Raw genomic sequence first — 23,258 nt, 5'->3', positions numbered from 1 at the left:
TTACATTGTTTCCATATTCAAATGGAAATCTTTTTGCAAGTTAGTAATTAAAGTATTTAACCTCTCTCTCCCTCCATTTATTAGAAAACTCTTTTTTCTTTATTTTTTCAATTACAAAAAAACTGCTAAAGCCAATCAAGCATTTATTTTGATAAACCGCTTGTAACAGTCTCAGCTAAATTCTGCAAATACCAAAAAAAAAAAAAAAGCTAAATAATCACCCTGAGCAGATTTTGCGGAGACCTTGCTCAACCTGTTCAGGGATAATTATGCCGAGCTTTTAGTATGGGGCAAAGGAAAACATAAAATTAAGGCATGAAAGAAAGTCTACCTATTTTGAGAAAATACTGGGATAATTGGTACTCTTTTTATTACCATTTTATTATAGAAAGATATTGTCTTGTCATGAAATATAGGTTTACAGCAATGAAACAGTACTATTCGGGGTGGAAAGAACTTCTGTGTTAGATGGATTGATTTAAAATGTAATAAAAATAGCAAATTGCTAAATAGTGAATCGCTAAATAGTCAAGTTAGAGTTCATTATTTAAATGACTCCTTTTTCTTTTCTTTTTAATCATATGATGTTCATAATTGCTTTGTTTCTGACAAGTACGTTACAGGGACTTTTTTCTTCTTTTTTCTTTTTTCTTTCAGAGTAGCCTTTGGTTTGGAGCTACAACCATAACTTTCTTTGAGAAATGGAAACATCAGGAATGGTACCACTACATGCAAGGTGCTAGGAGTAGAAAGCAATAGACAGATTCACAATGTTATAAATGGTGGTGATATGAAATGTGACCCTGATAATGGTTATGTGGTGCTTTGGAAATTTACCTCTCTTACAGACTTTGTCCTTTTGTATGTGAAGGTGACACTGAACAGTGTGTCTGAACAGAATGATGTGTAATCTGTAGTTCTTTATATCTTATCAGCTGCAGATCCTGGTTTTGTGGAGCCTGAAGCTTGCACAACATGGGGGCCGTGTTTTAATGAGAACAATAGTACAAAATTAAAAATGCAAAACTAGGTACAGGCATTGGAAGGGGCCAGTATTTAGTGAGGATCAGCTTCATTACGCTTCATGGTAGATCTGTCTCTGCTGATTACATATGTGAAAACTGAGAATGGGTATTTGAAAGCTTCATTTGGACCAGGCTTATTCAATTTGTGTTGGTAGATATTCATGGCTGGGAGGACAGCACTGGTTCTATTTTTAGAAATTTTAACAAGTGCTACTTTCCCAGCACTGATGGTACAAATCACAGAGCTGGGGGCGAGGTTGCAAAATCTGGATGACTCAGTTTCCAAAATTACAGTTTTTCTACTTATATTGATAGTACTTACACCAGAAGGTGCTAGCTCTTTGATCAAATACTGAATTGTGAGGAAATCAGATTCAAGTGTCATGTTAAAGTTAAAGTCATGAAGGGAAGAGAAACCAGAGCTGACTCGACTGGTAAGAAATCTTAATAAAAATGGGGACATTTGTAACAATAATTAAGGCAGGGAAATGCTGATTAGCGTTCAGCTACTCTAGTGAGAAGCAAAAAGCACCAATAAAGCAGATATTCTTCGTCTGGATGCCTTGCTTCCTCAGTGAGTCAGTCCCAAAGGGGCCTCCCCTCATGCCACTGTATACTCTGCTGGGAGCTTTGTCGGCTAAAGCTTCTAATATCTACAGTGGCTTCTCTTGCAGCACTTTGGTTTCCAGGGAACCATCCGCAGGTTCTACTGATTTGTCAGTATCTTTACACTCAGCCTCTGGTTGCACCAGGCATTCATCTTTGGTAGTTGCAGTGTGTGTTTGGGCCCTCCTGTGTCCAGATTATGCTTTGAATCAGCACATATTTATTGACTAACTGTAGGGTACACAACTATGGTAAAGATGATAATACGTAATCTTACCTTTGGGTAGCTGCTTGCAATTTATGAAATACCTTTATATCCATTACTTTCCTTGCTTCTCACAATTCCAAGAGGTAAGCAGACTCAGTGCTGTAATTCACATATTACAGAAGACAAAACTGAGATTAAGGAAATTGCCCAGGTCAAACAATTAAGAAGTTGCAGAGGACTTGAGCCCTGAGCTACTGACTCAATAGATATTTTTTTTAACCATTACATGGACCTTGCAATTTATTAGGGAGATAAGAAATGCAAATTTTTTTCCCTTAAATGCATGTGTATCTTTATATAGAGATATATTTCCTTAGTAATTGTACTATAAGAAAGCATCAAGAAAGTGTCTAAATAAAGCACCCAGTGAAGAGTTGTACATCTAGTGTGTTCCAGAAATATGAATTGATTAGACTTGATATATGTCTATTAAGCACTTGGAGAGTACAGGGCACTGTTTTAGAGCCCTTGTTAATTGATTATCATGGCTGTGTGTTGTTTTGGGCCCTGGGCCCTGTTTCAGTGAGAAGATAGAGCTATCAGAGGAAAAGCCATCAGTAGTTTTAGACACTAGACTTCTCTCTGCTTTCACAAAATGCCATCCCAGATTCAGAGGCATTTCTTATCCTCAAATGGAACATCTTCACATACCACAGTGTTCCATTTCCCTCTTCCAATGGCCTCCATTGCTTGTAACCTTGACTGAACTCTCCCCTTTTTGCATTCTCTATAAATCTGCTAGTCACCACTCCCACAACATAGCCTATTATGACATTGCTGCAACCTAGCCTCTGAATTCTGGATTTCATCTTCTCTCATCCAGGCTGATGTGTTCTGAAACTAGAGCTTCCAGACCCTTCTGAGTTCTCACTGTCGCCATTCTGCGACAAATCCTGCTTCTTGTTATCCTATGAAACTATATTTCAGAGCCCTGCCCCAGTGTCCCCTTCCTTCTTTCTCTTCTTCAAGTGAAACTGCTCAAAGACCTCATTATTCACATGCTTCCACATCTGTACCCTTAACAGCCTTCCAAATGATTTGAACAGCCTCACTTTTTTGTCAGTTACATAAGGAAGTGCCTTCCTTATGTCACTGTGGTGAAATTATTTTCTCAATTTATTCTGTTTCAAAAAGAACAAAAAATGTTCCTCCAGCGTTATAACTAATCACAATGTCAATAGTTTACTAGGTGCATAACTGGTGCAAAATGCGAACACAAGGCATGATGGCTTTTCTGTATTTTAGAATCTGTTTCAGGAGGGGTTCTTCTTCTTCTCCTTCCTTCTCCTCCTCCTTCTTTCCTTTCCAATTTTCTGTATCTCTTCTTCCAATCATAATTTCATACAGTCAGTCATAGGGTAACACAAAAATAACATGTTCCTAAGTGCAGGTAAACTCACCTCACAAGCTTAGAAATGCAGTATAAATAAACCAAACTTTAAGTAGATATCAGAGCATGGTTATATTACAAATGGTTCATTCAATTTATAAACTATTTTTTCATTCAGCCTCCTGAATATCAGGTCCCTCTAGTATACTAAAATTATCTGATTTACCAAAAAAATTTCTGTACAGCTGTTTGGCAATAGCTCTTCTATTCAAAAATTCACTACAGATTCTATTAAGATTCCTTTCTTAAGCTAGTATAAAACTTTAATTGAACCTTAAGTTTCTCCCTGAATAGGAATTTTTTAAACCTTTGTTCTCAGGGAAACTGTACCATTAGAAAGTAACAGTGAATTTTTGCGTCATTATTTTTTATCATTTTTTTGGAAAGATGTTCTAAATGTAAAACAAGGTAAGAAAGTACATTCATGTGAACATGTAGAACTTGGAATGCTCTACATTTGAAAATACACTAACCTAAAATTGTAATATTTTATATGGCTTGACAATTTTTAATGTTGACCTAACATACTTCCAGAGGGTAATTAGGTAGCTGTGTGGTTTTGAACATGTAAATCGTTGACATGTCACTTTTTAAGAAAAATCAGTATAAAATGGCAGTTTTGCTTTTTGTGCTTTTTGAAAGCTACCATGGTTTTAAAAAAATTATCTTAATTTTATAGAACTAAAAACATCTGATAAAACCATTTCTTCATACCTGCCTTTCTCTGTTCTAACAACTAAAAACTTCTTTCTTGATTTAGGCTTTGTGAAATTTAAGCTCACAAAGCTCTTAGATTTAGAAAGTTCCTGTTGCATAGCTATTGTTGGGTTCTGTGTAGAGTGTGCTTTCCCTCATTTATTCCTGTAGGGTTCCTTGTGGTAAGTTTAGGTACATTCCTTTCTAGAGGCAAGGGGAGGGTTTTCCTCTCCCCAGGGTGCCAGTGAAACTCTCCATTACTTTGTCAACATGAGACTGCCTTGCCTAGAGAGACAAAAACCAACCAAATTTCTTTTCCATGTATTTTGTTTCTTCTCTGTTAAAACAAGAAAACTTTATTTTCAAGCCTCCCTTTTAAGAAACGTCTTTCTTACTGACGGGAACTTAAAACATCTGAAATGATTTTCATGACATATTACTGGCAGGCTCTGGTGTGAGAATTCTGCATGTTTCAAAAGTTCCTTGGCAAGCGATTGAAAGGTAGAATGCAGGATCCCACAGAAGGAATAGTTTGCGTTGTGCTTAATTTTCCTGACCAGTCTACAAAAGTTCTGTTTCCTTATTTATCTGAATTGTGGCATTAAGTGACTTTACCATCTTTCATTAATTAGATGTATTCAGAGATTCAAATTAACAATTAGCAAGCAGGGAAGGTGGTGTTCTACTCTGTAGCTCTGGTGACAGGGCGGGAGACTTCCACTCCCTTCATCCTTGTTTTGTAGGGTGGGGGGAATCTTGGAAATAAGACCTGCATTGTCTCAGCTTCAGGGCCTCCCTGTCTTGGGGCTGGCATTCTAAAAGTGTAGCATTGGGAGACTAGGAGTGGCGCCAGGGAGGGGGAAGGAGGAGGAGGGAGCAAAGGGGCAGGTAATGACCACAGGCCATCTAGGTCTTCTATCTTTCTTCTTTCCCTAGTTTGCTATCCTCTCGCAATTCCATTTTCTTTCAATAATTTATTGAAAGTGTTCAGGATGGGCTGTTAGAGAACCTCCCAGGGAAGATGAGGAGAGGCAGAGAATAACATTAATTCTAACCAAAACCCGTATATGTTGGAGGAATGAACAGATCCCTTTTATAGAACTTGAAAATGAGCCTCCAGGAGGTTAAATAAGCTGCTTACAGTTTCACAGCTAGAAACAGGAGAGGCAGAATTCAAAAGCACATCTTTCTCATTCCAAAGCTCATGCTCTCTGAGGCATACTCCATGGCGGTGGTGCACTGTGAGCAGGAAGGGAGTGCCCTTTTCCATCTATCTCCCTTTTTCTTTATCTCTTCTCAAGAGGATGATAGGGAAATAGAAGTGACAATGAAGATAGAGAGATTGGAGGGAGGGATAAGGAAAAATACCTGTAATAACAACAATAAGCACATATGATTGCTCAGTGCAATTTTATGTGCTTTACCTATGGTATATAGTATATGTTGTTATAGTATACAACCTCAAGGTATAACTCTTATTATCTCTATTTTATACACGAGAAAACCAGGCTCAGAGAAAATTACTTGCATATGGTCCCATGACCAACTGGTGTGTTGTGGAACTACCCTCTAGACCCAAAGCTGCGGGATTTCAAAGGCTCTTGACCTCCTAGTGCCTCTCCCTTTCCTTCTGTCTCTGCCAACCTGGACTTGAAGAAAGTTGGGCTGCAGAAAGCAGGGATGAGGTATAGTGTTGAAGAGGAGTGTTTGGGTGTTTATGTTTTAGGAAGGAGGCAGCACACCTTCCTTCACCCTCATTTAATACATTTCACATCCTGACTTGCCTCTGAGAGGACCACTGTGGTGTGACTCCGGGTTGGGGGAGATGGACACATAAGTAATCATGACACAGAGGCTGGGTGTGGTGGCTCATGCCTGCAATTCCAGCACTTCAGGAGGCCAAGGCGGAGGAATCACTTGAGGCCAAGAGTTCAAGACCAGCCTGGCCAACTTGGCGAAACCCTGTCTCTACTAAAAACACAAAAATTAGCTGGGTGTGGTGGTTCATGCTTGTAATCCCAGCTACTCGGGAGGCTGGGGCAGGTGAATCGCTTGAACCCGGGAGGCAGAAGTTGCAGTGAGTCAAAATCCTGCCACTGTACTCCAGCCTGTACAATAGTGAGAACCCGTCTCAAAAAAAAAAAAAAAAGAAAGAAAAGAAAAGAAAAAAAATTATGACACAATGTGCTTAGTGCTGTGTCAGGGAAAGCATAGCCCTTTAATAAGCGCTTAAATTCTGTTAATCCTCTGTATCTATATCCTAGTCTCCAAAATGGGGATCATGGCTGGGCGCTGTGGCTCATACCTGGAATATTAGCACTTTAGGGAACCAAGGTGTGGGGATTGCTTGAGCCCAGGAGTTCGAGACCAGCCTGGGCAACATAGTGAGACCTTGTCTCTTAAAAAAAAAAAAAAAAAATTAGCCAGACACGGTGGTGTGCAAATGTAGTCCTAGCTACTTGGGAGGCTGAGATGGGAAGATTGATGTAGCCAGGGAGATTGAGGCTGCAGTGAGCTGAGACTGGACCACAGGACTCCAGCCTGGGCAACAGAGCTAGACTTTTTCTTAAAAAAACAAAACAAAACAAAACAAGACAACACAAAAACAATAAAACAAAATGAGGATCATAACACTATCTCACAGGATTATAAGAAGGAATAAGTGACACAGTGTATGTGAACTTTCCTGGCACTCTCTCAAAATTAATGTTGAATCTCCACAAAGTGCTCTGAGAATATGAAAGAGGAGGCAAATAACTCCTGGATACTTGCAGCGATATTTCATCCAAGAAAGTGACATTAAAGTTGGGCCTTAAGTGATAAGTAAACGATTGTGAGGTGGGAAAACAGGTAGAATAGGTTGCTAATTTCTAAGTCATTTACTTTTTTCTAGTCTGTTTCATGGGGTACCAGGAAACACTCTGAGGTTCAGAAGCACCTCACCAGATTTACTCCTAGTTTTGTTGAAATATATGATTGTGTTATACCACCTAACATCTGCTCTTATTAAGAATTTTTTCCTACCTAGGAAACTATTGTTACCATTAACAGTCTTCTTCTTTTTAGATCACTGTTTCTTTTCATGTCTTTATTCAGCTTCTTCATCCAAAAACACTGTTTTTTTTGTTTTGTTTTGTTTTTTTGAGATGGAGTCTTGCTCTCTTGCCCATCCTGGAGTGCAGTGGCATGATCTTGGCTCACCGCAACCTCCACTTCCCAGGTTCAAGAGATTCTCTTGCCTCAACCTCACAAGTAGCTGGGATTATGGGCACATGCCACCATGCCCGGCTAATTTTTGTATATTTAGTAGAGACCCTGGGGTTTCACCATATTGGCCAGGCTGGTCTCGAACTCCTGACCTCAAGTGATCCACCCACCTTGGCCTCCCAAAGTGCTGGAATTACAGGCGTGAGCCAATGTGCCTGGCCGTGCTATTTTTTAAGAATCCAAGATGTGCTAAGCATTTTGCTGGGTGGGAAAATGTCTTTGTCTTTGAGGAACTTACAGTCTGTTGGGTAGACAACAGACTTGTGAACAAGTAAAGCACAGTGTGAACTACTAAGTGCTATAATTACTGGGAATATACATCTTAGTTTGCCCAGGATGGTCACAGTTCATACCTGTTGTTCTAACGTAATTACTAATAGTCTTTCATTTTCAGATGTGTGCTGATTTGGACAACAAATTTTATGGTTACATGAGTTAAAATATGTGTGTGTGTGTGTGTAAGATATTTTGCATGTTGACTGAAGAAATGACAAGCTCTAAGGAATCAAGGATGATTTTCTTAGGAAAGGTGATATTTGAGCAGAGGCATGATGCCGAGGGCATCACTAATAAGAGAAGGTGGGGAGAGGAAGGGAGGAAGTGCATTTTACATGAGCTAGAGATGCAGATGGGCATTAGGTAGTCAAGAGGCAATAACAAATCACAAGTTCCATGTGCCTGGAACATTGCTGGGTGGGGGATTAAGTAGTGGGAAAATTTTGTAGGCAAGTAGGGAAGAATGAAATCAGAATTTAATGATTGAGGAGCAAATGAAAGTTGAGGAAGTTGAGATGTCAAATATAGACACCTTCTAAGGAATTTAAGGAAAAGAGTGACTGTGGTGATAGTTTGAGATGAAGAAAGATAAAGTTTGGACATTCTGAAAATTGACAGTTAATGTCAGAAGAGACAGAGACACCGAGCTCAAAACAGCAAGGGATATGTGAGACAATGAGATCTCAAAGGAGGGGGGCGGAAAGTGCAGTCTGGGGCCTGGGAGAAAGGGCTAGCCTATGAAATAGAGAGGTCAGAACAGCTGGGTGTGGTGATGAACACCTGTCGTCCTAGCTACTCAGGTGGCCGAGGCAGGAGGATTGCTTGGGCCCAAAAGTTGAAGTCCAACTTAAGCAACATAGCGAGATCCCCATCTCTAACACAATTTTTAGAAAGGAAAAGAAGGACTGTAAGATGATGGAGGTAGAGAATTTACAGGGTAGGATTGGGGGAGTATCTAACCTGACATTTTCTTTGTTTGGTGAAGTAGTAAAATGATTGAGCACAGCCATTAAAGGACATGGCCAATATTTTTGCTCTTAATGTAGATAATGGCTATATGATCTTGTCCCAGTGACTTTACTTTCCTGGACCTCAGTTTCTTCATATGTAAAGTAAGAGACTGGATTGACACTTTCTATGTTTTCATCCAGTTCTAAGATCTGGTTCTGTGTTTTACTAAAAATGTCATGAGAAGGCAGTTCCCTGCATCCCTCACACCCTCCTTCTTGCTTGCCCCATCCTGTAAAAGAGAGGATTCCATTGTCAAGTAAGTTAGGGTTATGGTTAATTGGGTTTCTTTACAATAGGACCTCTTAGAGCCCCTAGAATGCTAATAGGTATTATGAATATTGAAGAGGAGGTTATAGTACACATTTCCCAAACTGATTTAACTGTATAATCCAGTGTTCCATAGAGCATACCATGAGAAACATTGATTTAAGCATTTATTCTCCCTTGTCATTTGTAAAAAATTCTATCCCAAGTTGGTGGGGGCAAAACAAACATTTTGAATGGCTGTTGTCTCTGGTGAGCATGCATCTTTGCTTGGAATATGACGTAGTTCCTTCCACTATCAGAATAAAAAGCTCCACCAAACCTAGACCTACAGAATATTGATAGAAATAAAACATGCAGCCCCGTCTAGGCATGAGATGGTGGCAGAGAGCTGCTGGATGCTCCAGCTCTTCCCTTGAACAAGCTGAAAAGAGAGAAAGACTTGTTTACAGCTCTCAAAAGAAAGGCTGAGAAGTACAGGTCCTGTGTTACCTGTATTATTTCTAAAGTTCCGGAACAGCTAAGGAAAGGAAATACAGAGTAATGTGGCTCAGTTTGTTTGATGTGGTATTTAATCCTTCTGGTTTATAATACCATCTAACACATATGTTTCGTATCACCTCAGATATATTCCAATATGATATTTAATATATTTAGAAAAGAAGAAAAATCCCACTGGCAAGAATGAGTTTCTCCCAGTTATGAAGTAATATGTTTTGTTTTTACTAGTATTCCCTAGCACATATGTGTTCTTTTTCAGTTCTCTTTTCTAACCCAAATGATTATTGTGTGTGTTTGTGCGTAAGTGTGTGTGTGTATGTTATCTGTAGGTTTCTTTATTGATGTAACTACTCTAATTTTGGTTCCTTTAAATTGTGATCATCATGAGGGAAAAGGAGTCCTTCCCTGATAATTCACATTTTGTAATGCTTTGTAAAGTGAACATATAATTTCAACAGATATGCTTTTTTGCTGATTCACTCATGAGTCTTTATATTGTGCAAAGCCCTATGCTAGGCACTGGAGAAAGTGAGAGAATGGGACCCAGTCTCTGTCCTTTTTCTTGTCTTAATCCTTCTCACTCTTGCAGTTCCTCCTCAGGATCCAACCCCTTGCTCCTCACTCCTCTGGTCGTTTTAGCTATCCCTTACTCCACTGAATACACACACACAGATACACACACACACCACAGGTACACACACACCTACATCCCACTCTTGACTAGATAAAGGGCCTATGCCAGTTGTGGAATCTGCTTAGAGGTTGAGGCAAAAGTCAAGGGGATTTGCTTTCACTTGGAAATTAGAGGTGTGGTTTCAGGTGGTTGGTGACCAGTTCACATAGCTCTGGTTCACTCTGCCCTGCTGCCTGGAGTTGCCTTCAGTTTCCTTAGGTGAAAATGGGTCATGGGAAGATGCTGAAGTTGCGGTTAAAGGAAGTACCAAGGCGCTTGCCTGACTCTCTTTAGACCTGCAGTTCTTTTAGGGACCACCTATTGCATCAAGGTTGAGCAGAATGTTGCACACATATGTGACTTCTTTTACTTTTTCTTCGCAGATTCTTAAATTGTGTTTGCCTTCTTGTCTCCCTCACTCTCTCTGGTACAGAGGTCGTAGGTTTCATTTGATTACATTTTCGTTCTCTGTTAAACTAGGCTGAGTCACCTTGCTCCACACAGCTATTTAGAATTTGCTCGTTTGTTTTTTTCTTTTTAACATCTCCACTGTTAAAAGTTAATGCTTTCTCCTTTTATTTTCACTGACTGAATGTCAGAGGACTTAACATTAATAGAAGTCTGTCTCCTCTATTACCTTTCAGGAATAGACATTCAAACCCTTTCGGGAATCATAATCTTCAGTAGAAAGAAATCTATAATAGATTGACAACTTTTTAAACATCTTTTCCTAATACTCTCATAGCTTTCAATTTGGACTGTTTCATTTAATTGAAGAAACATTATTAGCATCTTTGCCATGCATAAAAATAGATTATGTTTGAAGCATATGAAATGTTTCTAGCTCCTTAGAAGAAAATACATTAATATCATATTGTTATATATTGTTGAGCTTGTTTTTAACACCTTACTTAGGAGCCTAGCTATAAAATAATTTTAACTATGAAAGGGACCAACACCTCCTACTGGTACTTCCAGTTAATCTCCTGGATGCTTCTAGAAAGACTGGCCCTATGCCTGCTTCTTACTGAATCATGTTCCTATGTATAATATTTTATCCAAATAAATGACAATACAAAATCCTTTTACTTAAACAAGTTTAGGACTATAAAATATTTCAATTCATATTTTAATTTTAATAATTTTGTTCATAGCTTTCAGTAATAAAGCAAAATGGAACATTTTATTTTTGTGAAGCTTATCATTGTTTGCTAAGACAGTAATGTTAGAAAAATAATCTTTTCCCTAGGCATAACAAAACAAATGTTTAAGATAGATTTGATTGAGCATTTAAAATTTTTAAAGATGAACTTGCTTCTGGGTCTTCACTTCTTGGAGAGAATCCTTGGGAAGAAACTTAAAAAGATTTGGATTTGTCTTTTCTTTGGACAGAACATTTTGTTCTTTATTCTAATTGCAAATTCCTCTGGCCCTGGTTATAGCACATATTTTCCTCTTTATTCCACAACTTCCACTCTGCTTTCTGTTTGTTTTTAATGCTCAGAAGGGTTAATTTTTGCCTCAATTCCTGAAAAGAGAAAGTTGATTGCCACTAATCCATTTTAGTGTAGGTAACATGAAATATTTGTTAACCAAATTAAATCTGGCTGAATTGAAGTGCATAACCACTCATGGAAGGATGCCACTCTCTGACTTACTGGTGTTAGTTTCTCTTGGATTAATTAACATGTTGTAAGATAGTCTAGGCATACTAAAGTCACTGTTTAAAATAGGTCACATCAAGTAGCAGAGTATGAAAATGTCCATCCTTATAAACCAGGGATGGCAAACTCAGGTGCCTCCTGGAACTAGATTGGTTAAAAATGAGTGAAGGAGGACAGGTAGCAAGATTGTTCCTCGTTTGTCACCATGAAGCATCAGCAGATTGTTGACTTGTGAAAATAAAGGCAGAGGGTTGCCATATTTTCTTTTCTTTATTTTCTTTTCAAGATACAGCAGATACCCCATTTTAATGTAATTGTATCAATTTTTTAAATTAGGCAACTAATCAAAGATTTTACAAACAGTGTGCAGTCTGTGTTTTGTACATAGGCTGTCAGTTTGTGACCTCTAGAAACCCCATCAATTTGAAAGATAAATTTAGTCTTATATTAAAAACAAAGTGCACAGTGTTCTTAATTCTGTGGTCAGTGGCCAACGGTCCATTTCCTTTGGGAAAAAGTTTATTTTTGAGTCCCATGATCCTCACTCTAAGCAAAAGACTGAAAGACTATTTGGGTTGATAATTTACCCAACAGCATATTGAAAAATGTTAAGTCGGAAGTCAGTTCCTCATACTGTCTGGTAAAATCTGCAGTGTTGGTGTGGACTAAATCTATAGTTTAAAAAATGTTTTATAGTTTAAAAAATCATGAGAAGGCCTGTTAGGTAAGAATGCCCCCCACCCCAACACACACACACAAATTCCAATGACTTTAAAATTACAAAATTACATTTTTGGTATATCTCTATCTTAGCAACACTGTATTCTTTTCCATCTCTTTAAAATGTGCCACAATTAAATACACATAAAATAATCTTTTATATATTTATATATACTTGAGCCACCTTTCAACTTTTACTTCTCTAGATTACATAATTCAGACTTCTTTAATATTTACATATATCCTGTTTTATATATTTTTAAATGTGTTCTGTACTGTTGCCTAGACTAGACTGGTATTGTTAATAATCATACTAAATGCCAATGCATTATATAACTGCTTTATTACATCTTATATATTGTGTGTATTTATCTAGATTAGATTGCTTTTTACAAATGGTTCTATCCCAAAACAGCATTAGTTTTTGATTCTCACCCAGCTCTACGGCTTTTTGACACATTTGTTTCTGCTGCTGGAGATTGCTAGTCCATTGTGTTATTTCCCCATAAATGTATAAATGTATACCGATACTTTATTTGATTTTTAAATTTATATTGAAGATATAACCTATTGTTTTGAACTACAATTATGTCCATTCCTGAGTTAGCCACACCAGCTATCCCTGGTGTCATGTCCTGTTTGAAATTAAGTATCATGTGTTTTTCTTTATTGAAGGCAGTTAGCTCGAGTGTTTAAGAAATACTGGCCTCATCCTTGGGGAACACTGTAGTAGGCTTCCTTGACATTGAATCATTGGTAACTGTTCTTTCATAGGCCCAATTTGACCATCTGATTTATGTTGTATGTATCTTAACAATTGAGGGGGACTGACATAACTGGAAGAAAAGTGCACATATTTTAATGTTGGCATCACCCAAAACAAGGACATCTTTAGCTGCTAGATTGAAATTATTTACAATTTTGCACTTACTTTATGGTACCAAGTACAAGTATTCTAGTTACACTTGTGGTTTTAGAGAGTATTTGCTGCTCATTTGGAGTCTCAAATGCAAAATATAACCCTGTAGCTATTATGTGGGTTTGCGACACTCCCATGGGGACCTTGGGCTCATAAACCAGCGAATGGATTATATAATGCTGCATAAATGCTGTATTTTTCATCTGACAGACATAATCTTGATCCTATATTTTTATGTTGCCTAACTGCTTCAGAATACCACTTTTGAAGCAACCCATCAAAATGGAAATTGCTTCTAAAACATGTAGCAATAAATATTGGTCAAGGCTCTGTGTAATTCAGATTGACTCAATACTTGAACACTACTCGATTGAAATTCTCTACTGTTTTTAAATAAAAGGTTGATAATTTCCATTTTATGGTATTGTTTGATCCTTTTCTTTGTTAGGCATATATTTACTTTGTTAAAATTAAAATTTTATTTTCTGATTGTCTAAGGCATGCCTGATAGTCAATCAAGCATTTCAGTAGGTATAGATAAAATATTGAGAACTTACATTGAAAGTTAAACCACATATGGATCAAGACATATATGTGATATAGATCAACAAATATATGTGGTACCTATGAAACCAGATGAGCATCACTTTCAAACTTGCAGTATAGAGCTCTGTGTCTAACATGTTATCTGAAAGACTTGATGCCAGAGCTATGATTTTGCTCCAGCCTCTCATAATCTCACTCTCTCTCTGTGTGTGTTTCTGTGTGTGTGTGTGTGTGTGTGTTCATTTTTGTTTTTGAGATAAGGTCTCAATCCATCATCCAGGCTGGAGTGCAGTGGTACAATCATGGCTCACTGCAGCCTCGATCTCCTAGGCTTAAGTGTTGCACCCACCTCAACCTACCAACTAGCTAGGACTACAGGTGTGTGCCACCACACCTGCTAATTTTGTATTTTTTCAAGAGATAGGGTTTTGAACTGGCTGGTCTTGAACTCCTGGGCTCAAGGGATCTGCTGGCTTTGGCTTTGCAAAGTGGTGGGATTACAGGCATGAGCCACTGCACCCAGCCTCATTGTTGTATATTATCCGATGTGCTATTTGCTTTACAAATAATTGTTATACTCTGCTTGTCCTTTACCGAAAACATGACCAAAAACTATCTGATATTTACTATCCAATTTTGTTGAATAAAAGAGGAATCCAGAGTTGTTAACTTTGGCTTTAGGTTCTCCCTCTTGCGACCAACTTTGAATTATCTGGGCTGGGTAGTCCACAAACAATGTGTTCATGTTGTCTCCCTCTTACTCACAAGCCTTCTGTAGCTCCCAACATTCACTGCATGAAGTTTAAACTCCTCTTCTAAAACTATGATAACCTGGTCTCATCTTCCATCTAAACAGCGATTTCTTTTTAACTTTCACATAGATATACTGTACACACATTTCTCGATTTTTGCCTTTGTCTATTCATTCCAGTCTGTCATTTTCTAGTGCCAATATTAAGGATCATTTTATGATCTTACATGTAACTGTTTTAGACTGCTGATCTCCTTCACTTCTAATCTTTTCCACCACTTTATCTGTAACATTCAATATAGCTCTCAATTAGATTATGTCTTCATTTTGTTTGCTATTTTATAATGTGATTGTCAGACCTAGGACCATGTCTTCAATTCCTGAGTTCCCACATTCTGAGCACACGATAGGTCTCATTGGATACTCATTTCACTGGTGATGGATCTCCTGGCTCTTTTACACAGAGTATCTTTTATAAGCAGGCATTGCCATAAAGACATTAGTTTTAAAATTCTTCACTTCAGTAAAGAGTGAATGCCGTATATATACATGTATCTTCTTTGTGAGGTGAATTGTGTGCTTTGGTATTTTCTGGCAAGTTTTGTCAATGGAGACTAGTAAAATAAATCCTTAGAGATTTACTGAACATTTATTTTGTGACGTATAGTTGACGTGTAATACAGTTTTTACTGAGAGTTAATACCTCACTTTGTAAAGCATCTGTATACTAACTCCTGGCTTAACTGTCAGGGATGATGCCTTTTTGTGGTCCTTTGTTTAGGAATGTTGGTCTTTGTGACCCAAGATATGTGAGGACATTCATTCTTGATTTAACTTTGCATGTTACTGTTCATTTTTATTTCTACTTTGAAAAACAGGAATTTTACTAAAAACAGATTATGAAAAATGAATTAGCATTAGGATAAAAAATATATACTTTAAAATTTAAGTTTGCATTGTTAGTTGCCATGCAAAACATCTTGTTCCCTAGGTAAACGTGTACTTAATCAAATGGCAAGTAGAATAAAATGTAAACTAATTGCCTCTGTGACTAAATTCTCTATTCTTGACTGTCTTCCTCAAGAGTAATTCTTTCATGTGAAGTCAGTTGACCAGTCTCAGTTACCTCATTTTGGAGTGAAGTCTAGTACTCTGAAAAGGGAAAGATAAATTATTCTTTGGGGAGCAATGCAGTTTACTAAGCTGTGTATGAGGCCTGAGGTCAGGTGACCCGACTCTGTTCAAATTGTCAAAGGCAAGTGTCAATTGACAGTGTGTTCTGCTCTCTAAACTAGCACTCAAAGCCTAGTGGTTGAGCTTTCTGTTACCATTTCTTCTCCACTGCTCTGGAGAAAGGTTTTGTTTGTCTTGCTGGCTACTGCTAGTACCCATTTAAAAAGTTTAGACACAATTCCTTCAATATTATATCTAGAAAAATCTAGGGTGGTCTTGGAGGGCACAGGAGAAGAAGTTAGTGATCCCCTGACACAGTTTTATGGCTTTGAATACCATTCTGTTTCTTTTCTCCTCTAACTCTTCCAAATGCCTCTGAGAATCATGATATGAACTTTATCATTTTGATAATACCAAAAGAGATGTCTCTGGAAGCATGTAGCTGTGCATGTATGTGTGTGTGTGTGTGTGTGTGTACACAATCTCACACATACATCATAATATAAAATGTGTTAATATTAAGTAATGACTGATTATTTTAAATAATAACACTCTTTACAAATACATACGTCTTCTGCCCTTCAAAGCACACTTGGCCTCCTGCTTGGAAAGTGCTTTCTGTCTAATAGCACTTTCTTCTGATCATCTTTAATTTTGGCAACACTTATCACTTTAAAAAGAATATATATATATGTGTGTGTGTGTGTGTGTATGTGTATATATATATATACACATACATACATAAACACAGGTATATGATTTGGGAAAATAGCTAAATGTCACTGGGAGCCAGGCCTAGTAAATGAGATACTGTTAGAATTGATTCAATAAAATTGATAATATTTGGTCTCAAAACCAAATTGTAAGTATAAAATAAAACTAGTGTGCTTGTGTGTTCCTAACTAGGACTATATGTGTAATGTGATAATCTACATAAGGCAGTTTCGCCCACACTTCTCACTTCTTTACCGTTCCCAACTCTGCTTTATATAGCAATGAAACTTCAGGTATGTTGTTGCACTGCTCATCAAAGTACCACTTTTAGAAGATTGTACTTGAAGAGTTTTTAAATAGCACTAGAAAGACTCTGCCATGCCACAGAAAAGCTTTTCGCCACATTAAGTGTACATTTAATCAACATTATGGCAATTATAGCTCTACTAGAAGTCCTTCACCCTCTGTTTTGTGGCGAGAACTTTGTCTAGGATAAAACTGTCATGAGTAGAGGTAATTTAAAATTCATCCTCCTTTTATTTATGTCAGAATATGACAGGGTGGGATGATGGATACCCATCTTTTTCTAATTGTAGCAATCTATTCTAAACTTCAAAGATAACTTGTTAGAATTCTCATTATTTAAAAAAATGTTATGACACCATTTCTCAGTCATTGCTTTTGTACTATTTCAATAATCTCCTTGGATATACTGATTGAGAAACTGTTATAAGGCTTACTGCGAAATTGACGAAGTCCAAATTTGATGACTGTCCCAAATAGTTTTGTGCCTTTGATAGATTTTACATGTGTTTTTTTCTATAAATCTGCCTTTAAAAATTTATTGTTGTCTTCAGATGTTTTCATGATATGTTCACTTAGTAGTTTATGCCACATGTCTTTAATGCAGTTCTAGAAACCCATTGCTGAGAAAGTGAAGTTCTCTTTCAATATCCATAATGAAAGTCAGTTTACTGGCGAGCACACCTGGGTTTGGCTTCCTAGTTATTCCTCCAGTAACACTGTATTGCATGTCTTAGGAAAAACTATTTGATGAGCTTAGATTTACAAATTAAAGTATTCTTCCACTTACTTCAGATAACGATACTGCAAGATCGTTAATATTGACCTAGAAGAAGTCTGGCTCAGCCTTCTGATTGATGAGCTGTGGTGGCTGTGAATGCTAACATAACCTTAATCTAAAATCATGAGCCTCTACCAAGGGAGGTAGTAGTTCCTCTGAATGCTACACAGATCATGTCACTTTTGAAGTCATGGTTTTTGTCTTGGACTGCCTATGCCCTAAGGGGAACACGGCCAAACATGTATTTATCTAGAAGATGTCAGAAAAAGTGATTGATCTGAAAAACTTCTGTCTGAGAGATTATTAAAGTAACTTGGAAAGTTGTTTTGGAAATAGGAAGAAAGACCCCAAGGAAGATATTTTCACAGTTTTTCTTTATCTGAAGAGCTGTTGCCAACTCATCACAAAAGGGTAGAACAAGGAGTACAGATTAATTTGAAAAATATTTCTGATTCTGAATTCAAAGTCTAATTGTAAAAAAGAAGATAGCAATGAGAGAGTATAGTCCCATACCTAGCTAAGTAAATGAAACTGTTAGGTGTTTATGGAATAGGAAATATGACTCTTCTAGTCATCATGGACCCAACCTTAAAGAAAGTTACAGTTCACTGGGTGCGGTAGCTCACGCCTATAATCCCAGCACTTTGGGAGGCTGAAGCGGGTGAATCACGAGGTCAGTAGCTCGAGACCAGCCTGGCCAACATGGTAAAACCTTGTCTCTACTAAAAATACAAAAAAAAAAAAAAAAAAATAGCCAGGCATGGTGGCTCCCGCCTTAATCCCAGCTACTCGGGAGGCTGAGGCAGGAGAATTGCTTGAACCTGGGAGGCGGAGGTTGCAGTGAGCCGAGATCACGCCAGTGCACTCCAGCCTGGGCAACAAGAGCAAGATTCCGTCTCAGAAAGAAGAAGAAAAAAAGGAAACTGACAGTTCAATAATGAAAATACGCATTTTCATAGCTCTAATAAAAGTAGAAAAGAATGTTTTTAACTAGATTTTACTGATAAAGCCCTGTGGTTCATAGAGGAGAAAGTGATCACTTTGAGTGATAAACATCTACCTCTCCCTCTGAAAGCCTAAAGTGGGGACATGTACCTGAAAACTAGATTGTGTGCTTGAAAGAGAATGTAGACAACCAAGCTAGGGAAGAAAAGACCTGAGACCTAATGGGTTAAATTCTATCCTTGGGACTTGGACGTGTTACCTGACTTCTGGGTCTCCATTTCCTCATCCAGGAATACAAAATTAGACTATCTGTTATGATCAAATAATAGAACTATTGTTAGAATCCAGCTTGATAATATTTGTAGAGGATTTTAAAAATGCAAAAAGGCTATGCAAATATTAGGGACTGCTGTGACTTAAAATTTCATCTAGCTTGCTTTTGCTATGTTTAGGCAGAGTAAAGGCTGAACTTCTCTTGACTTTTTGTAGTACCTTTATAGAGACTAAATAGTATTTCAAGATAGGAATGACTGAATAATATATTGTTTACAAGTCTCTAAAGTGTGTGTGTGTGTGTGTAAAGATAATTTTTGGACAAACATCATAATGATCCTGTAATAATGATCTATGATAAAGAAAAACTCTTGAAGTATAGCATTTACACATAAACTTAAAAACACACATTTCTCATTAGTGGAGATTTTATCATTGATTTTCAACATTGGAAAAACACAGAGATTGTTTTCTTTGCAAATCCCATAGAGATATGTTGACAGGATGATACAGGAAAAATCATATTATGTATAACTTTGTAGTAACATGATTGGTGTTTAATATTAAGCAGAGTATGAAAAAAAACAACCTTAATAAAAAATTAGCTAGACCATAAAAGCATCAGAAGATAGTTCATTAAAACATGTTCTCTAGGCCTGCCATTACTCCCTGCCCTTCTATTTCAGTGGTTCTCAACCTTGGCCGCACATTAGAATTACCTGGGGAGCTTTAAAAATCTCACTGCCCAGGCTGCACCCCTAACCAATTAATTCAGAGTCTCCAGGGGGTGAGAACCAGTTATCAGTATTTTTTAAAGCTCCCCAGGCAATTCCAATGTGCACCTAGTTTGAGATCTACTTCCCATATCTATCTGTAGTACCATATTGGATTTACAAATTGGAATGCTATTTTTGACTCCTTCTTTGTCTCCTTTCTCTCCGTTTAATCTTACCAAGTTCTGCAGATTCTCCCTCTGCTGTATTGGTTTGACCCTTCCTATCCCCAGTAATGCTAGCCTAGCCCAGGCCTTTATAGCTTAATATCTAGTTTTCTTCTTCTAGTCCCTCTTAAATGGTGTTACCAGACACTTTCGAACAACAATCTTTGAAACAACAATTTTGTCATTTCACTTAAGAACCTATACTGTTTTAGCATCCTAAAATTCAGGATTTTTGTAATCAAACTCTATTTACAAAACTAATCTTCTGATATCTTATATTTCCTATTGCAACACTTTACGAGTAGAAGAGAATTGAGGATTCAGGAAGGTGAATTCTTTTAAAAACTATTTCACTTGTAATCCTGGGGGCTTTGAGGCATGGGCTGGGGAGGAAAAGGGAGAAAGATGTTCAACAAAAGGCATATCCAGGCTATCTTTTCCTCCAACCCATATGTCTCCCTTTAGCCAGACCAAATCCAGTCTGGTTTCTTAATATATTTGGGTTGTGCTTAAGATTTCATTAGAACAGAAAAGAGTTTCACTGCTAAAAGAAAAAAAGAAGAAGAAGAAACTTTGACAACCCCTGGTGGCTAATCCTCTCATTTCACAAGGGAGGAAACTAAGGCTCAAAGAGGTTAAGTGACTCATCCAAAGTCATATAGCTAAAATGTGCCCTTTGTTCCTGCTAGCATAGTCTCTTCACTTTCTCTGAAAAGTAAGAAGAAATGTCATGCTAGCACTTGACACAAGGCCCTATACGTACAGGTGTTCAGCAAATATTTGTTGAATGAACACTTGAATGAATGCTATTTCATATTTCTGTTTCTGTTCACATTGTTACTGTAACAAGAATGCCTTTTTAAAAAATTCTCACTTTCACCTATAAAAGCAATCATTCAATGCAGGTCTCATCCTACTTCTGCCTCAAAGTCTCTCCTTATAAGCCATGACTGTAAAGGTAATTTATTTGATTATATTTAAACCATTTTAAACTGTCCTGTTCTGTAATTATTTTCTGGATGTGTCTTTTCTCCATAACAAGATTGCATGTCTGTTCCTTGAAGTGCATGACTTTTGCCACGTACTCCTCCTTTTATATCTCCTCCAGCATAGACAAAGCTTAATAAATACTTGTTGTGTTGGATTACTGGATTGCCTGCGGCTATAGACTGTTATTTTATGCTCCTGCTAATAGTAATTAAAACTCACTAGAATCAAATATCATATCCCAAAATATGAAGTTGAATTTGTACTCAGTTTATGAAATGCTCTTTTGTTAGAGAATGAAACAAATGGGATTTTTATATCCTCAAATTCCTTTCCCATTAGAATAAACTCACGTTATTTTCATTTTAACCTCTGTTTTGTTTTGTTTTGTTTGTTTGTTTGTTTGTTTTAACAAAAGATTGCAACAGGAAAAGAAAGTAGATTAAATAATTTGGTGTCTGCCAGAATTTTTGTCCTGAGGTCTCTGAGTATTCGCAGTCTTGGTCTCTTAGCACATCAGCCCCTGAAAGCAAGGCCAAACTGCAACTTCATGAGAAATACACTTGGGATATGTCCAATCCGGTGTGAGCCAACTCACACTTGCCTTCCTTATTCGAAGCCACATTTCCTGGCTGGACTAGTGAGAATTGTCTTTTGAAGAAAAAAGAGTGTTTCTGGATTGTTTTCAGGCCCTTTTATTCACAGCAGTCATTCTAGCATTCTCCACAGAGTTCTTCATAAGCCAGTAGGAAAAGCGATTCCATCGTTTTCCCTGGAAAAGTATTCAAATGCATGATTTGTCCCTTGGAAACTTACTTTGATGAACTTCCCAGTGAATGTCCACACTCTTTCTTAAAGTTTTACACATACACAGACACAAAGATATTTGAAAACATATTTGCCCTTCATCGTGCTTCAAAATCGTGCCAGGCGTGCAGTCATCATGTGTTCCTTTGCCTTGTATGTATTTCTGTCTTAAGGAGTCACTTTTATCTTTTTAAGAGATGGGGTCTCATTATGCTGCCCAGGCTGATCTTGAACATCTGGACTCAAGGGATCCTCCTGCCTCAGCCTCTCATAGTGCTGGGATTATAATTATGAGCCACTGTTCATGGCCACCAGGAGTCACATTTTTAAAAAGATAAATATATATACAATATTGTCAAAAGTAGAGAGAAAAGTTGTGGTGTCATTTGGAACCTATTTCTTCCTCTGTAAAGGGGCTACATGAACTCCAAGGACCATTCCAGCCTATGCATTAAGCAAGCAGTTTAATGAAGCGTTTCAAATCCTTAGTATTATTTGCTTTAGTATAGGATTCTTTCCATTCATTCACTCACATTCAGGTATTTGTTCATTCAACAACTATTTATTGACCCCTCCTCAGAAAAGCAATAAAACACTTAAGAAAATGGCCCTAGATTTCGACTTGTATTTGAATTCTAAAATTTAATTGATATGTGAACATGGGCAAGTTACTTAACTTCTCTGCATTTCAATTTTCTGTGAAGTGATCGTAATAACAGCACTATTGCTTAAGGTCATTGTGAGGAATATATAATTCCTATTAGTACCTTAGCATAGTGTCTGGCACATGCCATATGTTCAAATAATATGTTACTATTATAGCTTATTCTCTGCTAGACAGGCTGATAAGGATACCAGAACTAATAAGGCATTTTTTTTTTCTTTCTGTTAGGGAGCTCAGAATCTAATGAAAAGGGAACATATATGTAGGTATAATTTTACTATATAACAAGTACTATAATAGAGTTATATACAGTGGACTCCGGGAGCCCCAAAGAGGCTGCATGAAGCTCTGGGGAGGGGGAAGATTGGGGGGAAGCACAGAGAGGCGATGGTTTATCTGACCTCTGAAGAATATGTAGGTAGCTGCCAAATTATAGGACGGAAGGTAAAAAGAAGAATGAGCAAGCAGCATGAACAAAAGGATGGAAGCACTAATTCTAGAAGAGCAAATCAATTCACAGGCTTCCAGGTGAGGGGGTGATGGCAGATGAGATGGGGCTTGTCGTGGTGTCAGCCTGATCCCTTGGCTGTTCTCCCATGACTTGCTAACCTACTGCTACAGAGAATTGAGGCTGTCTCAGAAAAGGAGTCCAGAGGTAGTTGGCTGTAGTGAGGAAGTAAGATTTTGTGCTTGGTTTGCGGTGCCACAAGAAGATGTATACCATGATAGCAAGAATCATAAAAGGGGATGTATTCCAGAAGAAGGTAGAAGAGAAATGGTCTGGAAAGACTGGGTAGAGGACAAAAGGAGCCAGATGATATGTTATGTTAAAGGAGACTCTGAAGGCTTAATTTTGGAGATAAACTGTTAATTTTAATGTGTACACCCAATACTGTCTTTGTATGCCTACATAGTCCCTGTTGTATCTAAAAGATCACACCATTTTAGAAAAATGTTCTTGGAACTTTAGGGACTAGTTCCCTTTGAGTAAACATGCTTTAGATGAAATGAAGAGGCAGTGCGTAGTGCAATCATTCCACGCTTTATGTCCTAGACTTACAGTAGCTAGATTCTGGAATTGACTCTTCTGCTAA

At 37.6% G+C, this 23,258-nt stretch overlaps 1 protein-coding gene and 1 long non-coding RNA gene across 4 annotated transcripts in view; both read left to right on the top strand.

Annotated features, from left to right (window-relative positions):
• The window catches only part of FIGN (fidgetin, microtubule severing factor), a 133,398-nt gene that overhangs the window by 32,770 nt on the left and 77,370 nt on the right, over positions 1-23,258 (top strand). The window lies entirely within an intron of this gene.
• LOC107985957 (uncharacterized) overlaps positions 1-23,258 on the top strand; it is a 65,994-nt gene that overhangs the window by 30,703 nt on the left and 12,033 nt on the right. The window contains exon 2 of the long non-coding RNA XR_001739759.2: positions 658-23,258. This exon is cut by the window's right edge and continues 12,033 nt beyond it. This is a non-coding gene — a long non-coding RNA (uncharacterized LOC107985957). The remainder of the gene's footprint in view (positions 1-657) is intronic.

Source organism: Homo sapiens, chromosome 2, assembly GCF_000001405.40.
Source record: "Homo sapiens chromosome 2, GRCh38.p14 Primary Assembly".
Taxonomy (NCBI): Eukaryota; Metazoa; Chordata; class Mammalia; order Primates; family Hominidae; genus Homo; species Homo sapiens.
The sequence above is the reverse complement of the archived record's forward strand: the minus strand, read 5'-3'. Positions and strand labels throughout refer to the sequence as shown.